Source organism: Homo sapiens, chromosome 15, assembly GCF_000001405.40.
Source record: "Homo sapiens chromosome 15, GRCh38.p14 Primary Assembly".
In the NCBI taxonomy this organism is placed as follows: domain Eukaryota; kingdom Metazoa; phylum Chordata; class Mammalia; order Primates; family Hominidae; genus Homo; species Homo sapiens.
Genome location: NC_000015.10, coordinates 58,343,318 through 58,367,451, shown reverse-complemented (window position 1 = coordinate 58,367,451; position 24,134 = coordinate 58,343,318). Strand labels below are relative to the sequence as shown.

At 44.2% G+C, this 24,134-nt stretch overlaps 6 annotated features.

The window, feature by feature from the left end:
• Positions 3,806-4,306: an enhancer, noted in NCBI's record as "H3K4me1 hESC enhancer chr15:58655345-58655845 (GRCh37/hg19 assembly coordinates)". NCBI's record gives its function as "activates a minimal SCP1, AML or CMV promoter by ChIP-STARR-seq in primed H9 embryonic stem cells {active_cell/tissue: H9 hESC(primed)}" and the evidence as "EXISTENCE:reporter gene assay evidence [ECO:0000049][PMID:30033119]".
• Positions 4,416-4,495: an enhancer, noted in NCBI's record as "active region_9468". NCBI's record gives its function as "activates an Ori minimal core promoter by ATAC-STARR-seq in GM12878 lymphoblastoid cells {active_cell/tissue: GM12878}" and the evidence as "EXISTENCE:reporter gene assay evidence [ECO:0000049][PMID:35858748]".
• Positions 4,566-4,625: an enhancer, noted in NCBI's record as "active region_9467". NCBI's record gives its function as "activates an Ori minimal core promoter by ATAC-STARR-seq in GM12878 lymphoblastoid cells {active_cell/tissue: GM12878}" and the evidence as "EXISTENCE:reporter gene assay evidence [ECO:0000049][PMID:35858748]".
• Positions 9,601-9,680: an enhancer, noted in NCBI's record as "active region_9466". NCBI's record gives its function as "activates an Ori minimal core promoter by ATAC-STARR-seq in GM12878 lymphoblastoid cells {active_cell/tissue: GM12878}" and the evidence as "EXISTENCE:reporter gene assay evidence [ECO:0000049][PMID:35858748]".
• Positions 20,487-20,986: an enhancer, noted in NCBI's record as "H3K4me1 hESC enhancer chr15:58638665-58639164 (GRCh37/hg19 assembly coordinates)". NCBI's record gives its function as "activates a minimal SCP1, AML or CMV promoter by ChIP-STARR-seq in naive H9 embryonic stem cells {active_cell/tissue: H9 hESC(naive)}" and the evidence as "EXISTENCE:reporter gene assay evidence [ECO:0000049][PMID:30033119]".
• Positions 20,987-21,488: an enhancer, noted in NCBI's record as "H3K4me1 hESC enhancer chr15:58638163-58638664 (GRCh37/hg19 assembly coordinates)". NCBI's record gives its function as "activates a minimal SCP1, AML or CMV promoter by ChIP-STARR-seq in naive H9 embryonic stem cells {active_cell/tissue: H9 hESC(naive)}" and the evidence as "EXISTENCE:reporter gene assay evidence [ECO:0000049][PMID:30033119]".

Sequence of the window (24,134 nt, the reverse complement as noted above, 5' to 3'; positions counted from 1 at the left end):
CCTATCCATGAGCATGGAATGTTTTTCAATTTGTTTGTGTCCTCTCTTATTTCCTTGAGCAGTGGTTTGTAGTTCTCCTTGAAAAGGCCCTTCACATCCCTTGTAAGTTGGATTCCTAGGTATTTGATTCTCTTCGAAGCAATTGTGAATGGGAGTTCACTCATGATTTGGCTCTCTGTTTGTCTATTATTGGTGTATAGGAATGCTTGTGATTTTTGGACATTGATTTTTTATCCCAAGACTTTGCTGAAGTCGCTTATCAGCTTAAGGAGATTTTGGGCTGAGACAATGGGGTTTCCTAAATATACAATCATGTCATCTGCAAACAGAGACAATTTTACTTCCTCTTTTCCTGTTTGAATACCCTTTATTTCTTTCTCTTGCCTGATTGCCCTGGCCAGAACTTCCAATACTATGTTGGATAGGAGTGGTGAGAGAGGGCATCCTTATCTTGTGCCAGTTTTCAAAGGGAATGCTTTCAACTTTTGCCCATTCAGTATGATATTGGCTGTGGGTTTGTCATAAATAGCTCTTATTATTTTGAGATACGTTCCATCAATACCTAGTCAATTGAGAGTTTTTGGGAGAAAGGGGTGTTGAATTTTATTGAAGGCCTTTTCTGCATCTATTGAGATAATCATGTGGTTTTTGTCATTGGTTCTGTTTACGGTGATTGGATTACATTTTTTTGATTTGCATATGTCGAACCAGCCTTGCATCCCAGGGATGAAGCCGACTTAATCATCAGTGGATAAGCTTTTTGATGTGCTGCTGGATTTGGTTTGCCAGTATTTTATTGAGGATTTTCACCTCAATGTTCATCAGGGATATGGGCCTGAAATTCTCTTTTTTTGTTGTGTCTCTGCCAGGTTTTGGTATCAGGATGAGGCTGGCCTTATAAAATGAGTTAGCGAGGAGTCCCTTTTTTTCTACTGTTTGAAATAGTTTCAGAAGGAATGATACCAGCTCCTCTTTGTACCTCTGATAGAATTCAGCTGTGAACACATCTGGTCCTGGGCTTTTTTTTTTTTTTTTTTTTTTGGTTGGAAGGCTATTAATTACTGCCTCAATTTCAGAATTTGTTATTGGTCCATTCAGGGATTTGACTTCTTCCTGCTCGAGTCTTGGGAGGGTGTATGTGTCCAGGAATTTATCCATTTCTTCTAGATTTTCTAGCTTATTTGCGTAAAGGTGTTTATAGTATTCTCTGATGGCAGTATGTATTTCTTTGGGATCAGTGGTGATATCCCCTTTAACATTTTTTATTGTGTCTATTTGATTCTTCTCTTTTTTCTTCATTAGTCTGGCTAGTGCTCTATTTTGTTTATCTTTTCAAAAAACTGGCTCCTGGATTCGATGATTTTTTTGAAGGGTTTTTCACATTTCTATCTCCTTCAGTTCTGCTCTAATCTTAGTTATTTCTTGTCTTCTGCTAGCTTTTGAATTTGTTTGCTCTTGCTTCTCTAGTTCTTTTAATTGTGATGTTAGGGTGTCAATTTTAGATCTTTTCTGCTTTCTCCTGTGGGCATTTAGTGCTATAAATTTCCTTCTAAACACTGCTTTAGCTGTGTCCCAGAGATTCTGGTATGTTGTGCCTTTGTTCTCATCGGTTTCAAAGAACTTATTTACTTCTGCCTTAATTTCGTTGTTTACCTGGTAGTCATTCAGGAGAAGGTTGTTCAGTTTCCATGTAGTTGTACGGTTTTAAGTGAGTTTCTTAATCCTGAGTTCTAATTTGATTGCACTGTGGTCTGAGAGACTGTTTCTTATGATAGCCATTCTTTTGCATTTGCTGAGGAGTGTTTTATTTCCAATTATATGGTCAATTTTAGAAAAAGTGCGATGTGGTGCTGAGAAGAATGTATATTCTGTTAATTTTTGGTGGAGAGTTCTGTAGATGTCTGTAAGGTCCACTTGGTCCAGAGAGCTGAGTTCAAGTCCTAATATCCTTGTTAATTTTCTATATTGTTGATCTGTCTAATATTGACAGTGGGGTGTTAAAGTCTCCCACTATTATTGTGTGGGAGTCTAAGTCTCTTCGTAGATCTCTAAGAACTTGCTTTATGAAGCTGGGTGCTCCTGTATTGGTTGCATGTATATTTAGGATAGTTAGCTTTTCTTGTTGCATTGATCTGTTTACCATTATGTAATGCCCTTCTTTGTCTTTTTTGATCTTTGTTGGTTTAAAGTCTGTTTTATCAGAGACTAGGACTGCAACCCCTGCATTTTTTTGCTTTCCATTTGCTTGGTAAATCTTCCTCCATCCCTTTATTTTGAGCCTATGTGTGTCTTTGCATATGAGATGGGTATCCTGAATACAGCACACTGATGGGTCTTGACTCTTTATCCACTTTGCCAATCTGTGTCTTTTAACTGGGGCATTTAGCCCATTTACATTTAAGATTAATATTGTTATGTGTGAATTTGATCCTGTTGTTATGACGCTAGCTGGTTATTTTGGCCATCAGTTGATACAGTTTCTTCATACTGTCTATGATCTTTACAATTTGGTATATTTTTGTAGTGGCTGGTACCAGTTTTTCCTTTCCATATTTAGTGCTTCCTTCAGGAGCTCTTGTAAGGTAGGCCTGGTGGTAACAGCATTTGCTTGTCTGTAAAGGATTTTATTTCTCCTTTGCTTATGAAGCTTAGTTTCGCTGGATATGAAATTCTGGGTTGAAAATTCTTTTCTTTAAGAATGTTGAATATTGGCCCCCACTCTCTTCTGGCTTGCAGTGTTTCTGCAGAGATCTGCTATTAGTCTAATGGGCTTCCATTTGTGGGTAACGAGACCTTTTTCTGTGGCTGCTCTTAACATTTTTTCCTTCATTTCAACCTTGGTGAATCTGACAATTATATGTGTCTTGGGGTTGCTCTTCTCGAGGAGTATGTTTGTGGTGTTCTCTGTATTTCCTGAATTTGAATGTTGGCCTGTCTTGCTAGATTGGGGAAGTTCTGGATAATATCCTGAAGAGTATTTTCCAACTTGGTTTCATTCTCCCTGTCACTTTCAGGTACACCAATCAAACGTAGGTTTGGTCTTTTCACATAGTCCCATATTTCTTGGAGGCTTTGTTTGTTCCTTTTCATTCTTTTTTCTCTACTGTTGTCTTCATGCTTTATTTCATTAAGTTGATCTTCAATCTCTGATATCCTTTCTTCCACGTGATCAATTCAGCTATTGATATTTGTATGCATCACGAAGTTCTCATGCTGTGTTTTTCAGCTCCATCAGGTCATTTATGTTCTTCTCTAAAGTGGTTATTCTAGTTAGCAATTCCTCTAACCTTTTTTCAAGGTTCTCAGCTTCCTTGCATTGGGTTAGAACACACTCCTTTAGCTTGGAGGAGTTTGTTATTACCCACCTTCTGAAGCCTACTTCTGTCAATTCGTCAAACTCATTCTCTGTCCAGTTTTGTTCCCTTGTTGGCAAGGAGTTGTGATGCGTTGGAGGAGAAGAGGTGTCTGGCTTTAGGAATTTTCAGCCTTTCTGTGCTGGTTTTTCCTCATCTTCGTGGATTTATCTACCTTTGGTCTTTGATGTTGGTGACCTTTGGAAGGGGTTTCTTTGTGGATGTCCTTTTTGTTGGTGTTTACACTATTCCTTTCTGTTTGTTAGTTTTCCTTCTAACAGTCAGGCCCTTCTGCTGCTGGTCTGCTGGAGTTTGCTGGAGGTCCACTCCAGATCGTGTTTGCCTTGGTATCACCAGCGGAGGCTGCAGAACAGCAAATATTGGTGCCTGTTCCTTCCTCTGGAAGCTTCATCTCAGAGGCGCACCTGCCAGATGCCAGCCAGAGCTCTCCTCTATGAGGTGTCTGTTGACCCCTGCTGGGAGCTGTCTCCCCATCAGGAGACACAGGGGTCAGGGACCCACTTGAGGAGGCAGCCTGTCCCTTAGCAGAGCTTGAATACTGTGCTGGGAGATCCGCTGCTCTCTTCAGAGCCATCAGGCAGGGATGTTTAAGTCTGCTGAAGCTGCGCCCACAGCCGCGCCCCTTCCCGCAGGTGCTCTGTCCCAGGGAGATGGGAGTTTTATCTATAAGTCCTTAACTGGGGCTGCTGCTTTTCTTTCAGAGATTTCCTGCCCAGAGAGGAGGAATCTAGAGAGGCAGTCTGGCTACAGTGGCTTTGCCAAGCTGTGGTGGGCTCCACCCAGTTCAAACTTCCTGGCGGCTTTTTTTACACTGTGAGGGGAAAACTGCCTACTCAAGCCTCAGTGATGGTGGACGCCCCTCCCCCCACCAAGCTCAAGCATCCCAGGTTGACTTCAGACAGCCGTGCTGGCAGTGAGAATTTCAAGCCAGTGGATCTTAGCTTGCTGGGCTCTGTCGGAGGTGGGATCCACTGAGCTAGACCATTTGGCTCCCTGGCTTCAGCCCCTTTTTTAGGGGAGTGAATGGTTCTGTCTTGCTGGTGTTCCAGGCACCACTGGGTCATGAAAAAAAAGCTGCTGCAGCGAGCTTGGTACCTGCCCAAATGGCTGTCCAGATTTGTGCTTAAAACCCAGGGCCCTGGTGGCTTAGGCACCTGAGGGAATCTCCTGGTCTGTGGGTTGTGAAGACCGTGGGAAAAGTGTAGTATCTAGGCTGGAATACACCGTTTCTCATGGCACAGTCCCTCATGGCTTCCCTTGGGTAGGGGAGGGAGTTCCCCAACCCCTTGTGCCTCCTGGGTGAGGTGAGGCCCCACCCTGCTTTGGCTCACTCTCCGTGGGCTGCACCCACTGTCTAACCAGTCTCAGTGAGATGAGCCAGATACCTCTGTTGGAAATGCAGAAATCATCCGCCTTCTGTGTTGATCTCGCTGGGAGCTGCAGACCAGAGCTCTTCCCATTTGGCCATGTTGCCAGCCTGTCTCCCTGCATTCTTTTAAAATACAGATTCTCTCCTTTTACTATAAGATTCTGATTTTCAGCAGGTGCTATGGTTTAAATGATGGTGTCTGTTCCAAAATTTTTGTGGTAACTTAATCCCCAATGCAACAGTATTAAGAAGTGTGGCCTTCAGGAGATGATTCAGTCATGAGGACTCTGTCTTCACGAGTGGAATTAGTGCCCTTATAAGAGCTGGAGGTTGAAGGGATTGTCCCCTTTCCCTTCCATCTTCTCCTATGTGAGGACAGTGTCCCTCCCCTGTGGAAGATGGAGCAGCAAGGTGCCATCTTGGTAGCAGAGTTGGGACCCTCTCCAGACACCAAACCTGCTGGCCCAGCCTCCAGAACTGTAAAAAAAATTTCTATTGTTTATAAAGTACTACACAGAATGAGGTGTTTTGTTAGAGAAGCACAAACAGACTGAGACAGTAGGTAGGCTCCAGGTGTCTGTATTTGACATCCATCTCAGGTTTACTCACCGGTATTTAGAAACCACTGTTTTAAACCAAATCTAATGATTGCCATTCTTTTATAGTAATTGACTTTTTAAAAATACACTTTATATTTTAGAGCAGTTTAGGTTTACAACAAAATTGAGAGGAAGGTACAGAGACTTTCCACGTATTGCCAGCTCCCACATACGCACAGCCTCCCTTACTATCGAACCACACTAGAGTGGTACATTTGTTACAACTGATGAATCTACACTGACACATCCGTATCACTCAAAGACTATAGTTTACATTAGGGTTCATTGTAGATGTTGTACATTCCGTGGGTTTTGACAAATGTATAATAACACTTATCCACCACTGCAGTGATCATACAGGGTAGCTTCACTGCCCCAAATGCCTCTGTGGGCACGGCATATTCCTCTCTTCCTCCTCGCAACCCCTTGCAACCATTGATCAGTTGTACTAACTGACACTTCCTCTGTTTGGGCATTTCTGGACATTTTGCAACAAGACTTGCTCCTGGTGGCTGGTTCCTCTGCTTTTTCCCATTATGAGATGTTTTTTTTTTTTTGAAGGGGAGAAGCCAGAACCAATGATGTCATTTCTCTGAGGCCTGATGAGGAAAACTGAGCCCATCAGTCTTTTAACCACTGGAGGAGGATCCTGGTGGGAACACTTAGTAATTTGAGATCGTAAAAATGAATGGTGTCATGTAGTAACTGTTAACATACGCCGCAAGATGTTTATGATTCCCTGGGGCCAAATATGTAAACATTCTTCCAAGTTAAGCTGCAGGAGATAGTCAATTTCACAAAGAGATGATTTTTCCATTTATATAAGATGACTGAGTAAGAGGAAATATGGGGTGCAGGGAGTAAAACCGTTTATCTAGAGCCTGGGGCAAGGGCACATGCATCAGGCACCATGTGTGGTGGGCAGGTGGCTTGAGCTGGAGACCCTGGAAGAGGAGCTTGGGCTATGGCCTGAGCCCCTGTGGGAGGTCATGTAGTCCCTCTTTTGAGACAGGGAAAGGTCCATGTTGGGGTCTTTTACCTTCTTGAGAGCAGATGAAAGAGAGACAGAGATGGTTCTTGGAGATAGCGTGAACTGAACTTGCTGGATATGTCCAATTCTAGGAGATTAAGGTGGCTTAGAAGGATTCCTGTGTGGAATCAACTCAACTCACAAATCAAATGAGACTGAGTAAGTGGACAGAAAGGGGCACCATTATAGATTGAATTTTTTCCTCCTGGAAAGGGATGTTGAAATAGAAATACCAGTAACTCAGAATGTGACTTCATTAGGAAATAGAATCTTCATGGAAGTAATCAAGTTAAAATGAGTTCATTAGGATGGACCCTAATCCAGTATGACTGGTGTCCTTCTGAAAGGGCAAATTTGGACACAGAAACAGACATGCACACAGGGAAAACACCACGTGAAGATGGAGGCAGAGATAGGGAGATGCATCCTATAAGGCAAAGAATGCCAGTCATTACAGAAACCAGGAGAGAGGCAGGGAACAGGTTCTCCCTCACAGCCCTCAGAGGAAACCAACCCTGCCGGCACATTGTTCTCACATTTCTAGCTTCCATAACTGGGGGACAGTAAATTTCTGTCATTAAGCTCACCTAACTTATGATGCTTTGTCATGGCAGTCCTAGCGAATGAGTACAAGCACTTTATCTCTTTTATTATGGATCTAAGTTTCATGAAGACAGGAATTGTGTGTTGTTCATGGCATATTTTCAGTGCCTGGAAAAGTGCCTGGCACAGAGTAGGGGCTTAAGGAGTATTTAGCTCAATGCCTGGATCCTTTGGGGGGATATAGAGAGGTTATTTGAGCCAGAGGACACAAACCAATAGCCATCATGTAGTCAGCACCTGGTATGTAGCTGTGATATTTGGTGTTATGAAGATCATCTCTAATCTACAATGTAACCTGCAAGGTAGGTCTCATTTTTCTTAAGTCACAGAGTGGAAACTGAGGTTTAGAGAGATTAGGAAAATTGCCCAAGGTAACACAGCTAGTAAGTGGTAGATGTGGGTTGTAGCTCAGGCCTGTCTGAGTCTCCAGCCCTTGCTCTCATCAGTAGCCAGGACAGCAGAGGGAACCAGGCACACAGCCGGTGCCAGAGTCCCCTTGGAGCAGACGTCAACTAGTAGCTTGGGGATAGATCTCTAGACCCTGGAGAGGTGCAGTGCCAGAGCGGTCATGTTAGGCAGAAATCTAACTCCCCCAGTGGGGGCGTAAGGATGGACATGAGACTGGGGGAGGAGGAGGAATGGAGCTCTGTGCGGAAGTCCCTGGTCACAGCAGCAGCAGCGGGCTCTGGGTTACTCGGACGTGTGTGTGTGTGTGTGTGTGTGTGTGTGTGTGTGTGTGTGTTACCAGAAAGCTTGATGCAGTTGTATAGATGTGGGTGAGGCTGACTCAGACTTTAGGGAAGATGTGCTGCAAAAAGAAATTCTGCGTCTTAAATGGCTGCTGTGCGGCTGGCAAGACAGCAGGAAAGTGGACATGATTGCACTTCCAAGTTGGCTACCATTCCCCCTGCAATTTCCCGAGACTGAGGCCATACAGACGGTCATGAGACTGAGGCCATACAGACGGTCATTAGCCAGGACAGGGTTTTAAGACCCTTTTAAGGCTGTGTTCCCTGATATTCCCTTCAGGGCCATCCTGAGAGGAGCTCTTTCCTTTTCCATCTCCTGTCTGGGAGTTTCCCAATTCTGAAGCCTTTTCCAACCTAATCTCTAATCCATGGGCTAGAGAAGCAATTCTCAGGCTCTTCTATACTGAGCCCCACTTTTGGATGCCATTCCATTTTTTCATCATGTTGCTGGTACCTAGCACGATGCCTGGCACAGAGCTCCTTCGATATATGTTTGCTGAAGGAATAAAATGAGAGGCCTGTCTGGGCTGGACCTTGCAGGACTATACACCATGGAAAGAGCTCCAGTAGCACGATGTTCATTGCCTGTGTTGGGGACTGAAGGGCAAGGGACCTCTGTGGATCAGTGGAGCTCCCTGGTTGAGGAAGTGGCACCTCTGGGGCTCTGTGACCAGGAACAGAGAGTCTTTTCTTGGTTAGCACAGACCTGCTGCTCTAGCTCCTTGCTAAGCTTCAAAGTGGAGAGGAAAAGAGCCTCTGAGGCTATCCAGATTGATGTCTCCTCAATATTGTGGTGGTTATGGTCTCAGAACTGTATGAGCCAGCTATACTTCTAGACCATTGTCAGGTGTACAGATTGCCTAGGGGCGGGGATGGAGTGTGTTTAAAATGCAGATTCCTAGGCCTTTCCACTGCGAATCCAGCTTCAGCTAACCTGGGGTGGAGCAAGCGAAAGAATCTGCCCACAGGTTGTACTGATGCCACTGGCCAGAGGATTGTACTTTGAGAAATGAATCCCTACATTTTCTCACCTGTAAAATGATGCTTTCAGATATCATTTGTTGGGAAATTGTAGAACTCTTTCCAGTGCTGTGAAATAGAAGCACAAGCAGCTTTGTTTGTGTTATCAAAGGTTTAACTCTAATACCAGAGCTTGATTGCTAATGGGCTTCCAGAAGTCACATATTTCACTGGTCCAGATGCTTACCTGGTTTCCAGGTATGTGTGAGAATCTATGCCCACAAAGCAGGAAGTAGGAAATGAACTGGAAAGGATGAAGCTGCTGCCACAGTCTAGTGCGGTATGCCTCCCTCTGCATCCTTACAGATCAAAGGGATGCTAATGTAGGGGAATATGCAGATTTTTCAGACTCTAGCTCGCTGGGTGGGTGATTTCTTTTATGTCATGAAATAACATGAAAGAAGGAAACCCTTGGCTTTGGATTGGCCTCCTGCGGTGGAAAGTCCCAGAGATGTGAAGTCTCATACTAAGGCCTCCCATGCATGATGTGAGGTGAGAGTAAGATTGGATGGGAGGTGCTGGCCCTTCCTGGGAGGACATCTGATACTGAAGGTGACTAAGGTACGTTGGGCCCTGTTACCCACAAAAGACCTCTGCACTTCGGGGCTGATCACAGGCTAAAGGGCCCCATAAAGAGCAGGCCTGTTGATGCTTTGGGAAGCCTGGAAGCTTTGGTTTCTTGTCACAAAAAAGTGCTGAGGTGGTGTAGAGTCTCCGTGAATGAGGTATTACCAGCCAGCCTGGGACAGACGCCTGTGGAACAAGCCTCAAGCTCACCCTGGCTAAGTTAACAAGCTTGACTTCCTGCTCTGCGAATGTTCTCAAAGCAATAGAGTGATGTTAGGTGACTGAGGCTCACTGCAGAATGTGTGTGGTTGTGTGTGTGTGTGTGCATGCAGGTGAGGGGTAGTGCAGTGGGGGCAAGAGAAAGGGTCCTGGCCCTGGATCCTGGGACTTAAGAGAGCTTCCAGGACCTGAATGGTGACTCATTTTTGTAGGAAAAATCCTTATCATATCCTATGATGTCATTCAGAATTGACTCTGGCCTCCTGTCCTCATATCTGGACATATTTCCCACTGTCTTGCTGTAACCCTGACCTGACGCAAGTTTTGGGAGCTGTGCTTAAGACCTGGCTTGTACCATTCTCCTCTTGGGGCCCCAGGAGGGTGCACTGCCATCCCATGCTGGCCCTGGGTTAAACAGAACTCAAGAGCCTTCATGCTTGTGCTTACTGCCAGAGACAATCTCCAGTCTGTATGGAGAGTAGAGTACAAGATGGGACAGCACTGGACTTCCTAGCTGTTAGTGATACCCACTATTTGTCCTTATAAAGTGCTAAGACTCATACTAATACCAATATGGATACAAATACTAATATGAATCCAAATACTAATGCCAATACCAATTCTACCTCAAATACCCATAGCAATCCTAACCCTAATCCTAATTCTAGTTTTTCCATTTGCTCCTTAGGGCTACCTCAGGAGAGATGAGTCAGTGTTTGCAGGAGTACTGTGATATTGGAGTCTCCTTCCCATCTTAGGGCCCTTTTCCTTTGATGAATACTCCGTAAGAGTTGCCCACCTTTCTCTTCCTAGGAGGAGAAGTGAGTTCCTAAGAAGACAGCGAAGCTTTGGAGCTAGAAATAGAAGGAGAAAACAGTCAGATGGCCCTGAAAAGTGGGCCCCCACATTCCGGCTCATGTGGGATGCAGAGGAAATCCCCTTCTTGTTCCTGTGAGGTTGGGCAGTGTCAGAGCCCCTGACCCCCACCTCTATCTGCCAGAGGGGGTGCAGCCTGAGGGAGAGAGGTGCTGCGCCTAAGGTGAAGAGCTGGAGGGGTGTCCTCCCTAGCTCCCCTCCTTCCTTTTATTATTATTTTTTTTCTTTGTGACAGTCTCGCTCTGTTGCCCACGCTGGAGTACAGTGGCACAATCTCTGCTCACCGCAATCTCCGCCTCCCGGGTTCAAGCAGTTCTCTTGCCTCAGCCTCCCAAGTAGCTGGGATTACAGGTGTGTGCGCCCACACCTGGCTGACTTCTGTATTTGTAGTAGAGATGAGATTTCACCAGTTGGCCAGGCTGTTCTCGAACTCCTGGCCTCAAGTGATCTGCCTGCCTTGGCCTCCCAAAGTGATAGGATTACAGGTGTGAGCCACCGTGTCTGGACCCTGGCTCCCTTCCTTCTGCCAAAGAGGGCAGCCCTAGCGTTTTTATCTGGTATAAGCCCCTCACCACAGACAGCTGCTCAGAACCCCCATCCACAGGTCCATGTGCTGGCTCTGCTCTTGGCAGGAGCCACCTTCCAGACCAGGTTCTTCCCACTTGTTGGAAGAAAGAAGAGCCAGCTACACATGGCAAAACCCGCCTCTTAGGGTGTCAGGGAGAGGAGGAGGGAAATGCTGCAGGGAAGGTATGTGGCTGATTTGTTTTGTCTATAATCAATACCGGCCATCCATTTGTGCCCAGTTCAGAGGATGTGGAGCGTGGTTTTATTGCTTTCCTGGAGGATGGAGGGTCATAACTCTTGCGGCTCGGCTTTTATGGTTTGTTGTTAGTGGTAGCCAGGCCTCACTCCGTAGGAGTCTCTAATCAGGATGCCAGCCTCCACATTGTTCTCTGGGACATTCTGTTTTACAACACGCTCCCGTTTGCTGAGGGGTGAGTCTTGCGCTGTCTCTTGCAGGTGGGCCCGCTGTCTTTGCTGGCTGACTGTGCTGGGCAGGGTGGCCTGGAACCTGAAAGGAGGCCAGCAGGGTGGGCTCAAACTCCCTGCTCTCACCAGTGCTCGCTCTTCATTGCCAGAAGCTAAGGAGGCCTTGAGCACTAACAACCCCCAAGTTTTGGGTTCTGCCACAGGCGCTTAACTTCCTCCAGCTTTATATTTCTTGTCTGTAAAATGGAGCGAACACCTGCTTCCTTTCCCCACTGAATGATGTTGAGTCAGAGGGATGATGGATGTGAAAGCACATGCAAATAGGAAGGCGCCTTTGAAAGCACTAGCTCTCATCATTATTATTATTTTCCACTTAAGTGTTTTTACTCAATGGATTTGCCACTGCAGCTTGTGCTGACCCTTTTCACTCTGCAGTCCCTCTAAAAATACCACTTCTTTTGGGCGGGGAGCAGGCAGGGCTCCGCATGCTCCGCATGACCAGGGCTGTGAATTCACAGAGCAGGAGCTGAGTTATATATAGGGCGTCCTGGGAATTGCCTGGACCCTCTTTCAAGTGCAGGCAGGTGTGGGGATCTCAGGGCTGCAGGTAGAAAGAGGATCTGTAGGAAAGAGCTGTGAGAGGAAGCCCCCGGGGAGAGCAAAGCTGGGGGCTGGGCACTGCCTAGTGGCGGGTGGGAGTGCTTGGAAGACATTAGATGTGGGGACCTGGGCTTCACTCTTGAACAGGTAGGGGTCTCCAGAGGTTGCTAAGCTCAGGGGAGGATCCTTGAAGGCAGATGGGGAGTGGAGTGGGGTGAACAGCCAGGGAGGCCGATCCATGCAACGCCTCCTTAGCCTGGCCCAGGGCATGTGTGTGAGGATGGAGAGGGAGGGGTGGGGATGGAAGCCTCGGTCTTGCTCTCAGGGACTGTGGTGGAACAGATGACATGGCTGGGTGGCAACGGGGTCGGGAGATTGATTGGGGAGCATGTTCTAGTCCCTTTTCTCTCTTCCCTGAGCTTCTCTGGATGAAAATGTAGTCTCTTTGAGTTGGCTTCCAGGTGTGCCTAACTAAATCACTTGGGGGTAATATTTCCTTCTCTTGGTGTGTAGAAAGTGTATGTTTTATGTGTGTTTTTTCTATCCAGTGAAAGTGGGATAAAACAACAAGTCTGCGGGTTTCTTCTCAGGCTCACAAAGTAGAAGCTCTTATTTGAAAATCTTTGCTGGCACATCCTTTGAACTTCATTTGTCCAGAAGCCTGGCTGAGTATCTGATCCTCCGCCAACCATGTCAATATCTGCTCCCTGAATGCCCCTTTTATAGACCAAGGAGTGGAAGATAATTGCCGATGGCTTGGAAGTCTGTGTGGTTAAGGAGAGAAGCCTGGTATCAACTTGTAAACCCTAAAGAAACTTTCCCACTTAGCTATCCTTCCAAGTTTCCCCTTAACTTATTTATTTATTTATTTTGAGATGGAGTCTCACTCTGTTGCCCAGGCTGGAGTGCAATGGCATGATTCTTGGGTTCAGGCAATTCTTTGGTCTCAGCCTCCCAAGTAGCTGGGACTGCAGGCGCATGCCACCATGCCTGGCCAATTTTTTGTATTTGTAGTAGAGATGGGATTTCACTGTGTTGGCCAGGCTGGTCTCGAACTCCTGACTTCAGGTGACCCACCTGCTCGGCTTCCCAGAGCGCTGGGATTGCAGGCTTGAGCCACTGTGTCCCGGCGTATTTCCCCTTAACTTTTAAAACCTTAGCCACACACTCAAATGTGTTTTTAGCTAGCTAAAGTCTGCCTCTCCAGGGACAGAATGAAGCTCGAGAAATGGTTCTTCTGTCACATCACTTTAAACCATGCATTTTAAAATTGACAAAGAATACATCAGTGTCCCCCACTGCCCCTAGTGTGGACATCAGAATTTGTTCAGAGAGGAGGGACTACAAAATCTTTCATTTAGATTTTTAAAAACATAATAAATGTTGATATTTCAAAGACAATTTCCTCTTTTTAAGTGTTTTCCTATCCATTATCTTTTTGTCTTTCCATGATCCTTCTTGGCTCTGTGTTACAGTTGAGGAAAGAAAGGTGAGAGGTGTAAGCAGGTTGTCCAGATCAGATGGCTGCTAAGTGGTGAAACCAAGGTCAAATTCAGAACTTCTGACTCTAGGGCCGTCACACAGCGCTGTCTTTAAGTTGTTGAAGTTTGGTTGTGGTGTTGAAGGTCCCTTCAGCTTTTCAGTAGGGGAAAAAGCGTGTGCTGCTGGAAGCCAGCAAGGCAGGTCTCCCTCCATCCCCTAGAGCCTCCTCCGGGGGCCAGTAGCAAACAGCCTAAACAGCAACGAATGTAAGCGGCCCCCGCCTTGAAGACACAGTGCAGTCCTCAAGCCCCTGGTGCAGAATGGGCTGCTGTAAAATGAAACTCTACCGGAAAAATATGGCGGCTGCGTGCCAGTGACTTGGTAACAAGGAAACCAAGTGGTGGCCAACAGGAGATCATAAAAGCAAAGATGCAAAACCCATAAACCTAGGAAATTATGGAAAATCCTCAAACCACTTTCCAAATCCTAGACTTGGTATAAATGTACGGTACTGCTAGTATTGATTATAAAAACAAGGCGCCACTGCCCTTTAGGAGGTTTTTGAGACCACAGTATAAGAAGTTATCTTCCCAACTGCCTTGTTTTACCATAGTACCCCCTCCACAAACCGACTTAAAATTTTGTTAAGGATTTGTTTGAATTTTTTTGTGTGTCATACCTGATCAGTGATTGTTCATCTTTCTCCCAGATCCTTTGCTCTTTGAGGCCAGGATCCTGTCACCCTTATTCACATTCCTCTTGTACCCAAAATAGTCGCTTATAGACAGTAAATGTAATATGTTTATATTGAATATCCCAAGCCACTGCTACCACAACCACCAAAGCTTGGACAAGCTTGAGTGTGATGCTTTCACTGCACTATTTCTTTTCAGATGTAAAACATTGGTTTGCAAATGAGTCCTCAAAATAAGCTGAGCTATATTAACAAAAGCCTTTAAATGTCTCTATGTTTTGGCTGCTCTGTCTATGGAGTAGCCATTCTTTATTCCTTCTTTCTTAATAAACTTGCTTTCACTTTACTCTGTGGATTCGCCTCAAATTTTTTCTTGTGTGAGATCCAAGAACCTCTCTTGGGGTCTGGATCTGGACCCCTTTCTGATAACATCTTTCTGGCGAACCATGAAAGGATGATACTGAGACCTCCAACCCAAAGGAAATAGACTGCAGCAATGATTGGCCAACTTTGGATATCATCTTTTGTCAGAACTTGAGTTATGAGTGGCCCTTGACATACTGATGCTTTCTGACTGAGCTCTTGTCTACCCTGAATACAAGAGACCCTAACAGTTAGGCAGGAATATGATCGCCCCATTCAGCCTGAAGAAGTTACAGAAGATGGATCTTTGTCCCTCTACAACCCTTAGGGTTAAGGGTTCTCTTATAAAAGGGAAGGGGGAAATGTCAGAGGCTGTGGAACCAGAGTGACTCCATCTCATATAGAGGGTGGGTCAAAGCTGCATTCCCAGGAGGCTAGGCATTCTAAGTCACAGGATGAGATAGGAGGTTAGTACAAGATAAAGATCTTAAAGACCTTTCTGATAAAACAGTTTGCAGTAAAGAAGCCAGCCAAAGCCCACCAACACCAAGATGGTGATGGGAGTGACCTCTGGTCATCCTCACAGCTCATTATATGCCAATTATAATGTATTAGCATGCTAAAATACACTCCCATCAGCACCATGACGGTTTACAAATGCCATGGCAATGACAGAAAGTTACCCTATATGGTCTAAAATAGGGAGGAACCCTTAGTTCCAGGAATTGCCCGCCCCTGTCCCAGAAAACTCATGAATAATCCACCCCTTGTTTTGTATATAGTCAAGAAATAATCATAAAAATGAGTGACAGTGGTGTATGCCACTGCTTTGCCTGTGGAGTAATCATTCTTTATTCCTTTACTTTCTTAATAGGTTTAACTTAATTTCACTCTTGAGAATTGTAAGGAAACAACTAGGAATGCAAATATATTTATGCACATGAAGCTCATAATAATATTATTTATAATAGGTAGAAACTGGGAATGACCCACATTTCTGACACTTTTGAAGGGATTAAATTAAATAATAGTTTTTCATATGATAACATTTAAAATATGTTTATTAAGGCTTTTAATGGGCCAGGGAAATGCTTATGATAGGATATTGTGTGAAAAACCAAGAATTCAAAACCATATGTAAAGCTTGAAATAAGATTATCTGAATTATGAAAATTGAGAATGGAAGAATTGCAAGGAAAAATTAAGAACTTCAAAGCAGAAAAATTTTTTTATTACTTTCTTCTTTATATGCTTCTGTATATATGGATTTTTAAAACTAAAACTAAAGTAATTCTGGAAAAACCAACATATAATGTGTTAAAAGGGATGAAAGTCACCATTTAAAAAGTCAAGAAAGCAACATATATCCAAACATTTATTACCAATTAATAAGAAAAATTATAGGTGAAACAAAAGGAAAAATGGGAAAAGTATATGAACAGGTAATAAAATAAACACTTAAAAACGTTCTCATCCCATAGCTGTTGGGGTAATGCCAATTAAAAGAACACTGTGAAAACCAATTTTTCACCTAATGATTGGCAAAAATGAAAAAGAGTTCTAGTGAATTACCTACTACTATCAAGTTTCTTTTACAATAGTGATGAACACGACTATTCTGGGAAGGTATAATCTAGTAAATATAGAGGTATACACGTGTGGGGTCTTCATTTGTCAGAGGCATCAGATGGGAGAATCAGCCCACCAAAATCAAAAGAACTTTATGTCATGAATTCTATAAGTTGGATACTCCGAATGAGTACTGTGTGGGACTTCCTTTCTTTTAAAATGTGCATCTCATTTCTGGGTTGTGTGAGAAGCCGACTCTGAGACAGAGACTAGCATGTGGGAAGGTTATTAGGGACTGTCCAACCATGGTAGTCTCAGGGAAGCTGTAGCATAGACCCTATGGGCAGGTCTAAAGATGGGGTGACCCTGCAGAACTGTCCTGAGTTGAAACCAGAGAACCTGGCATTTATACCCTTGTATCAAGCAGGGATATGACTTGACCTTGAGGAGGGGACTTTTCATGCAGCTGAGGCATCTCCCCAATGGCTGACTGCTGGGGCTGGCCTCCATGTCACTTTCAGAAGCTGGGGGACAAGGTCTTTAGTTTTGGAAAAAGGATCTGGGGCTGCATCATAGGGTCCACTACAAAATATGCGCTTGAATGGCTTTTCTTTTTTCTTTTTTTTGGAGGCAGAGTCTCCCTCTGTCGCCCAGGCTGGAGTGCAGTTGTGCAGTCACAGCTCACTGCAGACTTGACCTCCTGGGCTCAAGTGATCCTCCCACCTCAGCCCCCCAAGTAGCTGGGACTACAGGTGTGTGCCACAACACCTGGCTAATTTTTGTATTTTTTGTAAAGATGGGTTTTTGCCATGTTGCCCAGGCTGGTCTTGAACTCCTGGGCTCAAGCAATCCTCCCACCTCGAAATTCCAAAGTGCTAGGATTACACTATGCCTGACCTTGAATGGCTTTTCAAACTTCTGGAAAGACAGTGGACCTTGGGTGATATTTGTGTGTAAAGAAGCTGATGAAGCTGATGCACTGCGGGCTGAGGTGGAGGGGTAACCCACTTTCTTATTTTTCCCTGGGTGCAAATTCTTTAGAAAACAGCCAAAGTCATAATAAAAGGGGAGTACTGATGAAGATGTGGGAAGACTGACATTTTCGTATTTTGCTTTTGGTGGGGGTTGGATTTCTAATTTCAGAAAGTAATTTGGTAATATCTATTTTAAAAAGAACACATCACCATTTCCAAGCAATTCCATTTTTGTAGATTTTCTTCAGAAAAGAAAGGTCCCTTGTGTAAGGATGTATCTATAAAAATGCTTAATCCAGTAATGTGTGTAGTAGCCAAGACATAAATCAAATAAACCACAACACAGCAGAAAATAATTGGAGTATTCATTAAATCGGAAATAATGGAATAAAATATCAAGTTCACACTACACACTGGGATGTAGCTACTTAAAAAGAGTTTGATCTGTATGCATTGACTTGCAGGAGTTAAATGGAAAAAGTAGGATGTAGAGTCATATGTGTAGATAACCCTGTTTTAAAGAAAATAAAACTATAGACATTTAAGGAACGATAAATATCAACATTTGTTTCAGTTGCCACAAGCGTGAGTTACTTTACTGATTAAAAATTGATAAGAAAAAATTAAGGCTGGGCACAGTGGCTCAACGCCTGTAATCTCGGCACTTTGGGAGGCCCGAGGCGGGTGGATCACCTGAGGTTTGGAGTTCGAGACCAGCCTGACCAACATGGCGAAACCTCACCTCTACTGAAAAAAAAAAATAGCCAGGCATGGTGGTGGGTGCCTGTAATCCCAACTACTTGGGAGGCTGAGGCAGGAGAATCGCTTGAACATGGGAGGCGGAGGTTGCAGTGGGCTATCGCGCCATTGCACTCCAGCCTGGGCAACAGAGCAAGACTCCATCTCAAAAAAAAAAAAAAAAAAAGAAAAAGAAAAATTTAAGTCTGGGCGCAGTGGCTCACTGCTGTAATCCCAGGACTTTGGGAGTCCAGGGTGGGTAGATCATGAGGTCAGGAGATCGAGACCAGCCTGGCCAACATGGTGAAACCCCCTCTCTACTAAAAATACAAAAATTAGCTGGGCGTGGTGGTGCATGCCTGTAATCCCACCTACTGGGGAGGCTTAGGCAGGAGAATCACTTGAACCTGGGAGGTGGAGGTTGCAGTGAGTCAAGATTGTGCCATTGCACTCCCGCCTGGGCGACAGAGTGAGACTCCATCTCAAAAAAAATAAATAAATAAATAAAAGAAAAAGAAAAGAAAAGAAAAATTTTAAAGGAAAAAATGAAAACACCTTGTTCCCTCCATCAAAACAAAGGGATTCATCAACCCAAATTGGGCCCTGGAGTTTCCGGGAAATATGCAGCATTTAGTCATGAGTGAGTGTCCACAGCTGGACACCTGAGCCTGGGGCAGCCAGGGGCTGGAGCCGCTCTTCTGTGGCTTTGGCTTCTCCTCACCTTTGATGAGAAAGTTCTCTTCCCTCCCCATATGTCAGTTCATCAACATTAGAAAGATATTCTAGACTATAGTTATAATATTTACACAGAATCAAATAGAAAAAAATTTGAAAAAAAAATGTCTGGCTTGTATTCCCCTTCAATGATCTCAATTACTTCCTGTTTAGCACCTGCTACTTTATCCTGTATCATATAGCAAATTTCTTCTTGTTTGCAAATGACTCAGCCAATCTCTTCTTGCCTCATCCTGGTGTCCCCCATCTCACTTGTGTTTAGAGTCTCAAAAAGACATAAGGCCTTGGCTTGATTGAAAGAACATATGACACAGAGCTTGATTGCCATGGATTCAATAGGGAATGAATCCCTGTCCCTGCTGAATATTCTCTCCAGCACTATGGAGGTCCCCTGTAGAGGCTGCACCTGTCATTGCTTCAAGAATTCTGGCCTTCTCTTGGCCATGTTCACCACTTTTGAGCACAAGGTTTTGGTGCTTTTTCTCAGGAATACTTTGCATTATCCCTGTTTTCTGCTATCAACCAAGGCCAGAGACAGGGAGCTTCTCAGCGTAGCACAAAGCAGTGGTTGTGGCAGGGAGGGAGGGTCAGGTGCAAAGTGTTTACTGACTCTTCTCTGGTTTCATCTTTCCACTGTAGAAATAGCTTAGGGAGTGGGGGAAGGTGGCAACACAGTAGGTATTGAGTAGGTAGCAGCAGACAATGTGAAATACCAAACAGTGAGAACTTGAGGCACAAAACTGAATCTGGAGAGTGTGGAAGGCCTGGATTGAACCTTGCAATGCAGATGTAGGAATCTTTTTTTTTTTTTTTTTAATACTTTAAGTTTTAGGGTACATGTGCATAACGTGCAGGTTTGTTACATATGCATACATGTGCCATGTTGGTATGCTGCACCCATTAACTTGTCATTTACATTAGGTATATCTCCTAATGCTATCCCTCCCCCCACCCCACCCCACAACAGGCCCCAGTGTGTGATGTTCCTCTTCCTGTGTCCAAGTGTTCTCATTGTTCATTTCCCACCTGTGAGTGAGAACATGTGGTGTTTGGTTTTTTGTCCTTGAGATAGTTTGCTGAGAATGATGGTTTCCAGCTTCATCCATGTCCCTACAAAGGACATAAACTCATCATTTTTTATGGCTGCATAGTATTCCATGGTGTATATGTGTCACATTTTTTTAATCCAGTCTATCATTGTTGGACATTTGGGTTGGTTCCAAGTCTTTCCTATTGTGAATAGTGCCACAATAAACATACATGTGCATGTGTCTTTATAGCAGCATGATTTATAATCCTTTGGGTATATACCCAGTAATGGGATGGCTGGGTCAAATGGTATTTCTAGTTCTAGATCCCTGAGGAATCACCACACTGACTTCCACAATGGTTGAACTAGTTTACAGTCCCACCAACAGTGTAAAAGTGTTCCTATTTCTCCACATCCTCTCCAGCACCTGTTGTTTCCTGACTTTTTAATGATTGCCATTCTAACTGGTGTGAGATGGTATCTCATTGTGGTTTTGATTTGCATTTCTCTGATGGCCAGTGATGATGAGCATTTTTTAATGTGTCTGTTGGCTGCATAAATGTCTTCTTTTGAGAAGTGTCTGTTCATATCCTTCGCCCACTTGTTGATGGGGTTGTTTGTTGTTTCTACCTGACTTTAAACTATACTACAAGGCTACAGTAACCAAAACAGCATAGTACTGGTACCAAAACAGAGATATAGACCAATGGAACAGAACAGAGCCCTCAGAAATAATGCCACACATCTACAACTATCTGATCTTTGACAAACCTGACAAATACAAGAAATGGGGAAAGGATTCCCTATTTAATAAATGGTGCTGGGAAAACTGGCTAGCTATATGTAGAAAGCTGAAACTGGATCCCTTCCTTATACCTTATACAAAAATTAATTCAAGGTGGATTGAAGACTTAAATGTTAGACCTAAAACCATAAAAACCCTAGAAGAAAACCTAGGCAATACCATTCAGGACATAGGCATGGGCAAGGACTTCATGTCTAAAACACCAAAAGCAATGGCAACAAAAGCCAAAATGGACAAATGGGATCTAATTAAATTAAAGAGCTTCTGCACAGCAAAAGAAACTACCATCAGAGTGAACAGGCAACCTACAGAATGGGAGAAAATTTTTGCAATCTACTCATCTGACAAAGGGCTAATATCCAGAATCTACAAAGAGCTCAAACAAATTTACAAGAAACAAACAGATGTAGGAATCTTAAGAATGCAACCCTGGAAAGGTTCCCCATGGGCATGAAGAATCCTGATTACTCAATTGCTTTGGGTGCCATCTCAACATGATACCCACAAGGAGCCCAGCCCTCCTCTGCCTCAGCGTTGAATTCCTAGGAAGCACAGGCAGCCCCAGCCACTCTGCAGGCCCTTGGGGTCCAGCCCACACCATTTGCAGCTCCTCGCTGCCCTTTATTTGCCTGCACACACTGCAGTAAAGGCTCCCTCCTCACACAATGGCCTGTGGGTATCTGCGGTTTGGGACCTCTGTGATGGCTAATTTAAGGCATCAACTTGACTGGGTTAAGTGATACCCAGATAGCTGGTAAAGCATTATTTTGAGGTAAGCCTGTGAGGGTGTTTCCCGAAGAGACTGGCATTTGTGTCAGTGCACTGAGTAAGGGAGATTCAGCCCCACCCAATGTGGGTGGGCACCATCCAATTGGCTGAGGGTCTGGATAGAACAAAAAGCCAGAGGAAAGGCAAATTCTCTCTCTCACTTTTTCTTGGAGCTGGGGTAGGAAATCTTTCAGCTCTCCTGCCCTTGGACATCAGAGCTCCAGGTTCTCTGGCCTTTGGATTCTGGGACTTGCACCAGCGTTCCCTGGGTTCGTAGGCCTTCAACCTCGGATTGAGGGTTACACTGTCTCAGTCCTCCATATTATAGTCAGCCTCCATAATTGCATGAGCTAATTCCCCAATACATTCCCTCTCATCTCTCTCTCTCTCTATCTATACACACACACACACACACACACACACACACATATATATATATATACACACACACATATATATATATAGTTGGTTGTGTTTCTCTGGAGAATCCTGACTGATACAGACCGCTAACTCTCCCTACTCTCCTCTACGTTGTTCAAGTCACTAACTCTTTGCAGAGGGCACAGCTTCCAGGTTTTCCTCCCATAAATCCCACTGCCAAGGGCCAGCGCATCCTCTCCAATGCTCAGCTTTGGCTCTTGAGACCCAGGACTTAATCCGAGGGTTCCAGTCCTTCACAGTGCTTGATGCCCTATTGTTAATGGTGGAAGAGGTCTGAGTTACCCTGAGTTACCAGCGGGGAATCCGTACACACCTGCAGCAACTTCAATTCTTCCTCCTCAAAAGAAAGAATTCAACTGAGGGGCCGAAAGCAGAAAAAGAGACCAAGATGAGTTCCAGGGCAGGAGTGGAAGTTTATTAAAAAGGCTTTAGTACAGGAAAGAAAAGAAAGAACCCTTGGAAGAGATCCAGGTGGGCACTTGAAGGTCAAAGAGAAAAAAAGAAGCTTAAATGCCCCTTTTAGCTGTGATCCTAGGACTTTTATAGGCTCGCCTCTTTCCCATGATTCTTCCCCTAGGGTGGCTTTCTGCATGCGCAGAGCCCTCCTTACCCTTGGGAAGTGAGCACACCCAATGTGTTTAGGAAGTTTTATGCATGCTCATCTGAGGCTTTCTTCCTTTTTCTGGTGGAGTGTAGCCGGAATATTATACTTTGCCATTTTTGTCTCTAATGTGCATGTCCAGGAAGTTTCTTCTCCCTGGGGTCTGTCTTTAATTAAAACTTCAATGTTAAAAGGTATGGACCATCAGAAAATGTCCTCTCCCCAGCTGGCTGCCAATTTGTCACTTTTAGAGAGGTCATGTGATCATTGCCAAACCATCACCTGACATTTCTAGTGCACGGGGGTAGAGCCTGCTCCTGCCCCACTCATGCCTAACTACCTATAACACTACTTGAGTATTTGTCTACATTAAGTCATTTATTTATGGAAGGAAATAATGTATACAGTGGTCCATTTCCAAGATAAAGTGCCCTGAGTCAGCTTAGGTCAGCAAACTACAGAAGAAACAGGATATACTAGGCCCTGCTTGGATAGCCAATGCCTGCTTGTCGGGCCCCACTCCCTTAGGTGCCCTCACCCAGACCAAAGAAGTTTAGTCTAAAATGAAGTTTACTAACTTGCAAAGTAGCTCGCTTTGCCTGTTCTTATCAGCCTGCCCAGCTAACTAGGTCATAATTCAAATACTTGAAAAGCCCCTGAGCTAACTAAGATTGCAATGCATTGTGGGCTGCAACAAAATGCAGCAAGAAAACCCTAAAGAAAACACCTAAAGCCACTTACTCAACAATCAATAGGCAACATCTGGGAAGATTGTGACCCACATAGTACTCAGCCTATGAGGAACTGCGGGAGGGACCTGCATACTAGGGCATAAATTGCTTGTTGTAACTGTGCTGGGTATGTCTGCCCACCAGACACTCGATCTTGCAAGATCATCATTAAAAAGTCTTGCTTCTGCTGTTCTCCAGGTCTCTGAGTCTATTCTTTGGGTTTGGATGGGTGTGTTTGTTTCTTACATTTACTCAAAAGCATTCAGAATATGTCCTATGTGTTTGGTACCAAAGGATATACAGATGACAAAGGATATACAAATGACAAAGACATGTATCCCTGCCCTTGAATTGCTTACAGCCTAGTAGGAAACAATAAAAAAAGAGTGATTAGGATATCTTCCTAACTTCAGGGCTAGCATGTCCCCTACTTCATCCTTGTGGGAGCTTCGAGACTTTTGGTAAGCCAAGCTCTTTGACCGTGGCCATTCCAGATTACCTGGTGCTTATTTTCAGTTCTAGCTCCAGGAAGCCTTCATGCTTCCAGCAAATAGAATTAAAACATTCCAGCCTAACCCCATTCTCCTGTTCAGTTTTTTTGTTCTCAGCAACAAGCCTTCTTTCTCATGTTCTTCCCTTCTTTTCCAGAGACAATCTACTTTGCAATTTTCTCAGGAAATTTGGAGAGAGGAGCCAGGGACCTCCAATTTCTTTCTTTGAAGAATCTTCCCCAGGAGATGGTTCAGAATAGGTGTGTACATGAAAGAGAATCCTCCCTAATCTTCCCTTCCACCTACCCCATATCACAACCGACATTGGATTCCTCAAACTGGGCAAGCTACATGCTTTCAGAGACCTGGACACATTACACGGAAGAGGGATTCCCCTCATTTTGGCCATCATGAACCCATTAGAGGAAATTGAAAGCTGAATTACACTACAGCCACTTAGGAAAGAATAATGAGAAGGAATAATGAAAGTTCTTTTAATAAGGTGACAGCAAAGTGTCTCCAGCCTTTTTTTTCTTAACATTTTTTATGTTTTACTTTTGCCTCACTTTGCATTTCAATATTCTGAATTTACATAAATAAAAAACCCCTAGCTTTGCTTTTGCATGTGCTGGGAGCTTTGCTGACTGTAGGCTTGGAATCTTTTCATTTATGAAAAGCATTCATTGAAGTTCCACTCTAATGATTCTTGGAAA